Genomic DNA, 12,516 nt, shown 5'->3' on the forward strand with positions numbered 1-12,516 from the left:
AAGGCCCTTAATAGAAAAGCTTCCTCTTTTATTCCTTTAGCAGCAGTGGGGTTGGGAAGAAATCTCATTGGCCTGGGAATCCAGGCAGCCTTATTTTGGGTGCAGACTGGAGAATCAACTGCCCTTTCCTTTCTTGGTAAACTTGCTGCCACCTGCACAGCCCTAGAGCTCTAAAAATATTTGTCAGATTTACTGCAAGTGTTTGTTTACAAGTCTGTCTCCCCATTTAAACTCTTAGGTTTCCTCAGGGCAGGTACTATGTTTCATTTATTTTTACCTTAGTGCCTGGCTTGTAGTAGGAGCTAAATAAATGGGGGTAGGGTTGGGGGAGGGAGAGGGAGAAAGAAAGAGAGAGAATATATGAATGAATGAATGAATGATGAATGAATGAATGAATATCAGTCCCCAACTTGATTAGGAGATAGCAATCAAGGACATTAAGACTCTAGCATATCCTCTGAGATTCCACAGAGGTGTCAAGTGGGGAGTGGGAAAAGGCATGTCAGGAAACAGAGGCCTGTCTTACTTCCCCAACTGTGGTTTAATCCAGCTTTCATGATACTCATCTGTCTTAGACATTGGTCTTCCTATTTTGTATGTTTTAATAAAAGATTCTGTGGCCAAGAGAACTATTTGAAAAAATTATTGGGCTAGATTTTTTTCCCCCACTTAGGTCTCTTCCAACTGGGATGTTTTCTGTGATGGGCAAGTACTTGCATGGCTTCTGCTTTTGACCACTATTGGAAAACGTTTCTGCATCTTATTCTGATGAAGAATGACATAAATAAGGGATCTTACTTGTAAATATCCACAACATGTTCTCCTTGGTCCAGAGCTCCAACAGCCAAGCTGCTGCTACTTGGCACCTGCATGTCCTGGTGTTCTTAAGTGTGTGCTGTTCCACATCACAGTGATGGGGTGTGGGACTTTTGAGGTGAGTAGTGTTTTTAGCCTCTATCCCCAGCTCTGTTTTCTCACATCTAATTTTAATATAACTTACTCAGCACTTTATATCTCTTCTGCTGACTGTCCCAAACCAGGGAAGAGACTTGGCCCACGGAGGACTAAAGCGTTGCCACAGATGAGTTGGTCATAGACAGTATCAAAGGGGAGTTTGTTACTCAAGTTTGCAAAGGACATTATTAGACAACCCAACAATCCCACAGCAGCGTGGCCATGCAGAGACTTCCATGACTTCATCTATCTACTTACGTTGCACCTATCTACTCAGCATCTACTATGTGGGGCTAACTGTGGCACTGAAGATACGGACATGAGAAAGAGAGAGTGCCTTTGTTAAGGAGCTCACATCCCAGTGAGAAAGCAAGGTTAAGAGAATGATACAATTCAAGATAAGAACAGACACAGAAATGTGTCACGTGCTATGGGACTGCAGAGAAAGGAGAGAATAGATCTCCCTGCGGGCTGGGAGGAGCAGTGGGGAAAGCTTCACAGAAAAGTACCTTTTCAATTAGGCTTTAACTTTGGACAGTTGCTTTCAAAGCTGGAGGCAGGAGAAGGGAAGTAGGACAGGCATGGAGGCACCAGCCACAGAGCACCTCAAGGCAGAGGAGATTTGGGTGCTGTGCCACCTGGGAGGTGAGGCTGATAGGACAGCTGTGCATCAGGCAGGGAAGCTGGAGGGGTAGGTCAGACCAGAATGACATGGGTCCTGAAAGCTTTGTTAATTACGTTACTCTGGAGGCAGTGGGGAGCCACTGAAGGTTTTAAAGCATGGCCTCCTGTGCCATGCTAAGAAACAGCTAATTTTACTGAAGGCAATGGCAAAGGACATCAAGCAGGCAAGGATTGTTCCAATTTTCCCTTTGATGAGCCCACTAGCACTATGAGGCAGTAATAAGGCTGCTGCCATAGTTCACGTGAAGGAAGAAGATGCTCTACCAGTGCAAATGGAGTAGAGGTGAAAACATAGATTCAAGGTACATTTCAGAGGGAGAGAAAGCAAGATACTATTCCTTCTTGTGTGTTGGGCGATGGGGGGAAGGCAGAAGACATGCAAGCCTGGATGTTTCAAACCTAGTGAGTGGGCTAGAGCTGCTTCCATTTATGTTCCTAAGCACTGCTTTGGCATTTATACTGGAATCCTAAGGGTCAATAAGATATTTTTCCTTTTGTAGGGGTCAGATTAGCTGCCAAAGCACTGGAGGAGTTGGAGGAGTTGGAGGAGTTGCTGACATCAGCCCTTAGAGTTTGGAATATAGCAATACTGCTTTATCTGGATTTTCCACAGGCCCCTGTTATGGGCTGAATTGGGTCCTCCCAAAATTCATGAGATGAAGTGCTTGCCCCTAGTACCTCACAATATGATTGTATTTAAAGATAAGTCATTTAAAAAGGCAGTGGCATTAAAATGGGGTTGTTAGGGTGGACCCAAATCCAATATGATGGGTGTCATAGCAAGAGGAGATTAGAACACAGACAACACAGACAGAGGGACAAGGATCATGTGAGGTCACAGCAGGAAGGTGGCCATCTGTAAGCGAAGGAGAGAGGTTTCAGGAGAAACCAAACCTGTCAGTATCTTGATCTTGGAGATTGTATTACTCTGTTCTCATGCTGCTAATAAAGATATACCCAAGACTGGGCAATTTACAAAATAAAGAGGTTTAATGGACTTACAGTTCCACATGGCTGGGGAGGCCTCACAAGGCAAAAGGCAAGGAGGAGCAAGTCGCATTTTATGTGGATGGCAACAGGCAAACAGAGTTTCTGTGGGGAAACTCCCCTTTTTTAAAATCATCAGATCTCGTGAGACTTATTTGCTTTCATGAGAACAGCATGGGAAAGACCTGCTCCTGTGACTCAATTACCTCCCACCGAGTCTCTCCCACAACACGTGGGAATTCAAGATGAGATTTGGGTGGGGACACAGCCAAACCATATCAGACATCTAGAGTCCAGAACTGTGAGAAAATAAATTTCTATTGTTTAAGCCACCTAGTCTGCAGTGTTTTGTTATGGGAGCCTGAGCAAACTAATACACTTCCTATGAAGAAAATCTCACGTGAAGTCCAAGCCTGTCTGGTCTAAGAGAAAAAAGTCACCACCTGAGAACTGGGACCACATTCTTTGTTCTAATTGTTCCAGCTAGTCCAGCTTCTCCACTAACCTACTTAATCATTACAGACATGGGCACTGTGACAATGATGGCCAGGTGTGTTGGGAATTCAATCACTTGAACAAGAATGTCCCTGGGTTATAACATCCAGGCTGCTGCTTTTTTTTCTAAAGCACCAGACAATTGCTTCACAAAGTTCCCAATAACTCAGCTCTCACCACTTGCTCAAAGCCAGTTTCTTAGGCCTTGAGGGGGGGAAATAGGCTATTTAAACTCAAATGACTATTGAGCTTTGTTGACAAAATACCACTTGGAAGAATAATGTAAATGGAATCCATCTTCAAGGAAGCAAATGTCAAGGAGCACTTCACAAAACCCATGTTCCTCTAGCCACAGTGACTTCATTACTACATCTGAGGGGAGAGAAGTGTGAGTTTAATTAGGTAAACATAGAGACAGTGTTTGGGAATCTCATTGTAACCAGTGAGAAGGCAAGGTTTTCATAGACAATTGCTGGATGCAACTAGGTCAGTCTCCAGATCTGAAATTAAACCCTTTATCTAAGGGTTACTACTTAAGCCAGCAACAAAGGAGCATTTTACCCAATTCCCACTCAGATTTAGAGATGTCAAGTTTTCCTTGTTTCTGACTAGCAACAACAGAAGAAATTAAAACAGCTCAGTCTGGAATATCCCAGGAACCCCCAAACTTAGCAAGATTTGGGGAATATACCACCTAGTCACTCCTTCAGAAAGGGGCACAGTGATGGGGGAGAGCACAGAACGCAGGCATCAAACACACCTGCATTTGAGTCCTGGCTCCATGGGTTACTAAGTGTGTGACTGTGAGCCAGTTATTTAACCTTCCATAGGCCTCAGCTCCCTTATCTATTAACCTGGTGAAATGCAGACCCCTCTGCATGGGGTTACAAGGTTTCAGCATGACTGGGTATGAAAAGAGAACAAAGAAGCTTCCTGGAGATGACTGTGGCCTTGGCTCACTGCCAGGAAAATGACTCATTTCTGTATGCCAGGGTTATAGTTCACTGTTACCCTGACAAATGAATGTGGAAGACCCATGATTTCCTCCACCCTCCTTCACTCACATAGTAAAAGTTAGCTACTGCCTGCAACATACCAGGCACCGTACAACACGAAACTGTAGGCTCCCCCTCCAGGAAGTGACAATGTCATTCCTAACCTGTTGGAATTTTAACACCTGTCATAAAAGGATCTCATGATGCTTTGAATACTTTCTCGAAAGGTGTCACATGCTGCAAGAATAGTAAGGACAGCAACAGCTATCATTTCCTACTTGGGTTGCATGTTTAATATTTCGTAAAACAATACTTTCACATATATCATATGAGCCCCACAAAGGCTCCAGAACTTCAGCATACAACCAGTAAGTTGCAGAACTGGATCACAAGCCCGACCTCCATCTCCCTAAGTTCAATAGGAATTTTCTGATACATTTTCTCCCAAGTTTGAAAGTAATATTACGCACAGAAAAGTTGGAAAAAAATAACCACACCTTATTTTCATCACCCAGAGATAGCCACTGTATCATTTTGTTCTATTTTCTTCCTATCTTTTTTCTATGCTTAAAAAAATTTTATTTAAACAAACTTGAGATCATACTATGTATAAAATTTTTTAGTCTTTTTTCCCCACTAAAAATGTTATGATTAGCATTTTCCCACATACTAAAACTTCAGCCTAAAATGTTATTAAAAAACAGAAAAACACAGCAAGCTTTATCTAGTAATTCCTGTTTTATATAATTGTTTCCAAACTTCCACAATTATGAATTATGCTGTAATGAGCACAAAACTTTTTGTTTCTGATTTTTCTTCAGATTGAACTATAAGTGTACTTAAGAGACTGATGACTCATTCTTTCATTCAACAAATATTTAATAAGCACCGACTAGGTACTGGATACCATTATAAACTGACGATACAGTAATAAGGAAACAAAGTAAAAAAACAGACAAGATATCCCTGCCTTCATGAAACTTACATTCTAGAGATATCAACAGTTTTAAGTATCTGTACGCATACTGTCAAATCACTTTTAGAAAGGTCGAACTATTTTATAACTCCAGTACATAAGTAGCTGTCTTACTACATTTTCACCAATGCTGAGTATTATGATTTAAAATTGTTGCTAATTTATAACACTTAATAAAAATATTGCATTCCTTAGAGATTTTTCTCCTTTGCTCTCTACCTCCATATATTCACCTCATCATAAAATACAAGTACATTGAAGAGACATTTAAGTTATCATCCAAAGTTGGTCTCCTAGCTGGGCATAATGACTCACAGCTATAATCCCAGCACTTTGGGAGGCCAAGGTGGGTGAAGCACTTGAGCCCAGGTGTTTGAGACCAACCTGGGCAACATAAAAACACCCCATCTCTACAAAATAATAATAAAAAAATCAGCCAGGTGTGGTGATGCATGCTTATAGCCCAGCTACTTGGGAGGCTGAGATGGGAAGATCACTTGAGCCCGAGAGGTCAACGCTGCAGTGAGCTGTGATTGCACCACTGACACAGCAAGACCCTTTCTCAAAAAACAATACAAAAAAACACAAAAAAACAAAAAAACGAAACAAAGTCTGCTCTCCAAATGTGAAATTTCAAAAGATTTTTCCTGCCTGCAGTGAGAAAATAATCCCAGTCCCAAAGCAGGGATGGCAAGAGTGGAAATGCCTCTGATACTTTGCAAGGTAGCCCTTGAAGGTAGCAAAAAATAATGATGACAAATCAGTGCCTTGTTAGGGCCTGATATGTCTGGGGACTGAGTCAGCAATGAGTTTCTCCAGTGAAATGCTAGGCTTCTGTGGGGGATGAGCTAGGACAAGCCAGGTGGGGACTCTGCAGGGGTGGTAAGGTCAGATTCAAATGAGGCTCTTTCATGAAAGCTCCTGGTCAACTATAGAGCATTCACAATAGAAGGGAGTTTTGCTCTTTTTTAATAGAGGCCTTTAGAGGATGTTGAGGACTTTGACAAGGGCTAATAATAAGAAAAAGGGGATAAGCATATGTATGGAAATATAAAAATAAGTAAATAAAATATAAATAAAGAAATAAAATAGGTAAAAATATGTGTTTAATATTTTTGGATTGTTTATCACATGTTAGAAATTTTCAGAATACTCTATTTTACATATATATACATATACATATATATATATATAGAGAGAGAGAGAGAGAGAGAGAGAGCTTATTATGTATCAGTCACTGGTCCAGGCACTTTGACTCATGTAACCATAATTGACTTATAAGGTAAATACTAGCATTATCTCCATTTGACAGATGAAGAGACTGAAGCTTAGAGAGTTAAGTACTTATAAAGCCAGGATCTGATCCCAATTAGTCTGCCTTTAGAGTCTGTGCTCTTAAACACTATCCTATAAGAAGCAAACTGACAATCAGATCGAGTAAGCGCGTGCCCTGGTTTGAAAGGTCAGGTAAGAAGGATTGATTGAGTGTCTCCTATGAACCAGGCACTGTGCTGGCTCAAGGTCACAAAGATCATGAGGGGAAGTGTGGAGAACTGGGATCTAGCTCAAGATCTGCCTGACTCCAGGCCCTCACTATTTCTACTACACTCTACTTAAGGGGAAATGCTTCTGCATATGGGTTGATGTGTAAGAGGCAAGGCTGGCACAGGGTGCAGTGCTCTTGAAACAAAATGCCACAGCCAGAAGAACAGAAGCTCCCAGGTATGCTGTTATGGGGAAAGAAGTTGTGTTAGAGGGCACCTCTGGGTGGGCCCCTCACCATACCTTCTCGGCCCCAGACACTCTAATATGGTCCAGGTGTTTCAGAATTTACCTTCTGGGTTCAGATGCCTCCATGCACTAAACAACAGTCTTTAGAAATTCCAACAAGTGTTCCCACAATCCCAGGCTTTGGCATTAGAATTTGTTGAACTTTCAGTTATTAAAAATTCTTTTATATTTTTCCCTTGACAACTCACACTGTACTTCAGACTGCTTTGATAGTTCCCTTAACGGTTGCCTTCGTATTTCAAAACCTATGAAATTACATATTTGAAGGGATTATTCATTTTTTTCCAATGGAAAGCATACATACCCCATAATGCTTTAATAATGATAACCAGATGGATTGAGGGGTCTTTGACAAGGGTTTTCTTTAGCTAATTTGAGAACATACTGAATTTCAGTCTCTTTTGACTAGTGAAAAAAATGGGCAGAATGTAAAGTGCCCTGTAAATATCCTACTTGTACAATTTTAATACTTTCATCATGGTCAGATGAAATCTAATTAAAGCTAACTGTCCCCTTCCTCTATTTTCAAAGTACAGGTTTCAGGCTTTTTCAGTGAAGCCCAGGAAAATGTTTAACCAGGAGTACTGGATACTCCTAAGTAGTTCTCACTCAAAATTCTGCCAAAATTACTTCCTGATCAGTGCTTATATCTTGACCTCCTTCTCCCTTACTCTCAAAGGAGCCCTTGAGACTTTAAGAAGGCTTCTCACCTTCATGTAGAATCATGAGGTGTTAGGGCTGGAAGGGACCTTAAGGATCACCTAGGCTACCTCTTTCACATTATAGATAAAGAAACTGAAATTTCAGAAAGATTCAATGACTTGGCCAAGGTCATGTAGGTAAGAAGTTGCAAGGGTTAGACTTGAACCTTATTCTATGTGTAACTCATTATATCACTTGGCTTCCCTTCTGCTCTCCTTTTCTGTAATTTTCCCTCTTTTTTCTTTATATTTTCCATTTTCCCTGTCAGAACCAGGTCATAGATGATGATGGGATGGGCCAAACCAAAGTGGACCAGGTTGTGGAGAACAGTCAAATTCAGCAAAGGAAAGCAGGTCATAGAGGGAAGCCTCTGACAACAGGCAGCTGGAAAAAGTCTGGCTGAGAAGTCCAGCAAAAGACAGAGGCCCTGGTTAGACAGATGGCACAGGCAGAGCAGGAAATCTGACATAAGGTCATGGAAGTGCTGTAAGCAGATTAGGTAATAACAGGTAACAGGGTCCCAGACTTGCGAATGACATTTCAGCAGCAGGACTCCACTTCATAAGAACTAAGGTGCATTGCCAAGGCAGGGATGTGGTCGCAGGGGCCCCAGGGACCTGGAATGAAAATCTGGAGCTCAGTTCCAAGGAACACGTTCCAAGGTCACGGCAGAACCAGCAGTGAGCTTCTGGCCCAGAGTTCCTTACAGTATCCCCGAGCAATGTGATAGAGACAGTTAGCAGCTTAACAATTAGTCCATATACTTCCACACATCTCCCTTGTAGCTGGACTGGGGCCATGTGACTATTTTTGGTCAAAGGACTTTTAGAGGAAGTAGAAACCATGACAACCACACATCTTGTTGTTGGAAAGGGAAGGAGAAACACTAGAAGTCTTTGGGAACAAGCCTGTTGTCAGCTCCTTGTCCACCTCACCCCACCTCTGTGAAGTATGCTCTCTGGAGCATGTGCAGCTTTAGACACAGCATGACTTTTTACCTGTTAATACCTACGTGGGAAATGCCTTTGAGCAAGAAAGTATATCTTGCTACTATTGGCAAAAAGAGTCAAATTCTTTAAAATATTTGAAGAGATTTATTTCGAGCCAAATATGAGTGACCACGGCCCGTGACAGGGCCCTCAGGAGATCCTCACAACATGTGACCAAAGTGGTTGGGGTACAGCTTGGTTTTATACATTCTAGGGAGACATGATACATCAATCAAATACATTTAAGATACATTAACCTTAAGGTTATCATATCTTAAATGTATTTGATTGATGTCTCATGTCTAAGTCTATAGGCAGATTTAAAATGTTTTTAACTGGCAATTGGTTGAAAGAGTTATCAGTAGGGAGGAGCCAAGATGGCCGAATAGGAACAGTTCTGGTCTACAGCTCCCAGCATGAGCCATGCAGAAGATGGGTGATTTCTGCATTTCCATCTGAGGTACTGGGTTCATCTCACTAGGGAGTGCCAGACAGTGGGCGCAGGACAGTGGGTGCAGTGCACCATGCGCCAGCCGAAGCAGGGCAAGGCAGTGCCTCACTCGGGAAGTGCAAGGGGTCAGGGAGTTCCCTTTCCTGGTCAAGGAAAGGGGTGAGAGAATGGCATCTGGAAAATCGGGCCATTCGCACCCGAATACTGCGCTTTTCCGACGGGCTTAGGAAATGGCACACCAGGAGATTATATCCCGCACCTGGCTTGGAGGGTCCTACGCCCACGGAGTCTCGCTCATTGCTAGCACAGCAGTCTAAGATCAAACTGCAAGGCAGCAGCAAGGCTGGGGGAGGGGCACCCGCCATTGCCCAGACTCGCTTAGGTAAACGAAGCAGCCAGGAAGCTCAAACTGGGTGGAGCCCACCACAGCTCAAGGAGGCCTGCCTGCCTCTGTAGACTCCACCTCTGGGGGCAGGGCACAGACAAACAAAAAGACAGCAGTAACCTCTGCAGACTTAAATGTCCCTGTCTGACAGCTTTGAGGAGAGCAGTGGTTCTCCCAGCATGCAGCTGGAGATCTGAGAATGGGAAGACTGCCTCCTTAAGTGGGTCTCTGACCCCGACCCCCAAGCAGCCTAACTGGGAGGCACCCCCCAGTAGGGGCAGACTAACACCTCACGCGGCCAGGTACTCCTCTGAGACAAAACTTCCAGAGGAACTATCAGACAGCAGCATTCGCGGATCACGAAAATCCACAGTTCTGCAGACACCGCTGCTGATACCCAGGCAAACAGGGTCTGGAGTGGACCTCTAGCAAACTCCAACAGACCTGCAGGTGAGGGTCCTGTCTGTTAGAAGGAAAACTAACGAACAGAAAGGGCATCCACACCAAAACCCCATCTGTACATCACCATCATCAAAGACAAAAAGTAGATAAAACCACAAAGATGGGGAAAAAACAGAGCAGAAAAACTGGAAACTCTAAAAAGCAGAGTGCCTCTCCTCCTCCAAAGGAACGCAGTTCCTCACCAGCAGCGGAACAAAGCTGGACGGAGAATGACTTTGACGAGTTGAGAGAAGAAGGCTTCAGACGATCAAACTACTCTGAGCTACAGGAGGAAATTCAAACCAAAGGCAAAGAAGTTGAAAACATTGAAAAAAATTTAGACGAATGTATAACTAGAATAACCGATACAGAGAAGTGCTTAAAGGAGCTGATGAAGCTGAAAGCCAAGGCTCGAGAACTACGTGAAGAAGGCAGAAGCCTCTGGAGCCGATGCAATCAACTGGAAGAAAGGATATCAGTGATGGAAGATGAAATGAATGAAATGAAGCGAGAAGGGAAGTTTAGAGAAAAAAGAATAAAAAGAAACGAACAAAGCCTCCAAGAAATATGGGACTATCTGAAAAGACCAAATCTGCATCTGATTGGTGTACCTGAAAGTGACGGGGAGAATGGAAACAAGTTGGAAAACACTCTGCAGGTTATTATCCAGGACAACTTCCCCAATCTAGCAAGGCAGGCCAACATTCAGATTCAGGAAATACAGAGAACACCACAAAGATACTCCTTGAGAAGAACAACTCCAAGACACATGATTGTCAGATTCACCAAAGTTGAAATGAAGGAAAAAATGTTAAGGGCAGCCAGAGAGAAAGGCCAGGTTACCCACAAAGGGAAGCCCATCAGACTGACAGCGGATCTCTTGGCAGAAACTCTACAAGCCAGAAGAGAGTGGGGGCCAATATTCAACATTCTTAAAGAAAAGAATTTTCAACCCAGAATTTCATATCCAGCCAAACTAAGCTTCATAAGTGGAGAAATAAAATCCTTTACAGACAAGCAAATGCTGAGAGATTTTGTCACCACCAAGCCTGCCCTAAAAGAGCTCCTGAAGGAAGCACTAAACATGGAAAGGCACAACTGGTACCAGCCACTGCAAAATCATGCCAAAATGTAAAGACTATCAAGATTAGGAAGAAACTGCATCAACTAATGAGCAAAATAAATAACCAGCTAACATCATAATGACAGGATCAAATTCACACATAACAATATTAGCTTTAAATGTAAATGGACTAAATGCTCCAATTAAAAGACACAGACTGGCAAATTGGATAAAGAGTCAAGACCCATCAGTGTGCTGTATTCAGGAAACCCATCTCACGTGCAGAGACACACATAGGCTCAAAATAAAAGGATGGAGGAAGATCTATCAAGCAAATGGAAAACAAAAAAGGCAGGGGTTGCAATCCTAGTCTCTGATAAAACAGACTCTAAACCAACAAAGATCAAAAGAGACAAAGAAGGCCATTACATAATGGTGAAGGGATCAATTCAACAAGAAGAGCTAAATATCCTAAATATATATGCACCCAATACAGGAGCACCCAGATTCATAAAGCAAGTCCTGAGTGACCTACAAAGAGACTTAGACTCCCACACAATAATAATGGGAGACTTTAACACCCCACTGTCAACATTAGACAGATGAACGAGACAGAAAGTTAACAAGGATACCCAGGAATTGAACTCAGCTCTGCACCAAGCGGACCTAATAGACATCTACAGAACTCTCCACCCCAAATCAACAGAATATACATTTTTTTCAGCACTACACCACACCTATTCCAAAATTGACCACATAGTTGGAAGTAAAGCTCTCCTCAGCAAATGTAAAAGATCAGAAATTATAACAAACTGTCTCTCAGACCACAGTGCAATCAAACTAGAACTCAGGATTAAGAAACTCACTCAAAACCACTCAACTACATGGAAACTGAACAACCTGCTCCTGAATGACTACTGGGTACACAACGAAATGAAGGCAGAAATAAAGATGTTCTTTGAAACCAATGAGAACAAAGACACAACATACCAGAATCTCTGGGACACATTCAAAGCAGTGTGTAGAGGGAAATTTATAGCACTAAATGCCCACAAGAGAAAGCAGGAAAGATCCAAAATTGACACCCTAACATCACAATGAAAAGAACTAGAAAAGGAAGAGCAAACACATTCAAAAGCTAGCAGAAGGCAAGAAATAACTAAAATCAGAGCAGAACTGAAGGAAATAGAGACACAAAAAACCCTTCAAAAAATTAATGAATCCAGGAGCTGGTTTTTTGAAAGGATCAACAAAATTGATAGACTGCTAGCAAGACTAATAAAGAAAAAAAGAGAGAAGAATCAAATAGATGCAATAAAAAATGATAAAGGGGATATCACCACCAATCCCACAGAAATACAAACTACCATCAGAGGATACTACAAACACCTCTACGCAAATAAACTAGAAAAGGTAGAAGAAATGGATAAATTCCTGGACACATACACCCTCCCAAGACTAAACCAGGAAGAAGTTGAATCTCTGAATAGACCAATAACAGGCTCTGAAATTGTGGCAATAATCACTAGCTCACCAACCAAAAAGAGTCCAGGACCAGATGGATTCACAGCCGAATTCTACCAGAGGTACAAGGAGGAACTGG

General features: G+C 42.4%; 1 protein-coding gene across 21 annotated transcripts in view, besides 1 other annotated feature; it reads right to left on the reverse strand.

Annotated features, from left to right (window-relative positions):
• The window catches only part of ME3 (malic enzyme 3), a 237,687-nt gene that overhangs the window by 154,093 nt on the left and 71,078 nt on the right, over nucleotides 1-12,516 (reverse strand). The window lies entirely within an intron of this gene.
• Nucleotides 5,791-5,991: a silencer, noted in NCBI's record as "peak1376 fragment used in MPRA reporter construct". NCBI's record gives its function as "represses an SCP1 promoter by STARR-seq MPRAs in K562 erythroleukemia cells {active_cell/tissue: K562}" and the evidence as "EXISTENCE:reporter gene assay evidence [ECO:0000049][PMID:32103011]".

Source organism: Homo sapiens, chromosome 11 (genome assembly GCF_000001405.40).
Source record: "Homo sapiens chromosome 11, GRCh38.p14 Primary Assembly".
NCBI classification, from domain to species: Eukaryota; Metazoa; Chordata; class Mammalia; order Primates; family Hominidae; genus Homo; species Homo sapiens.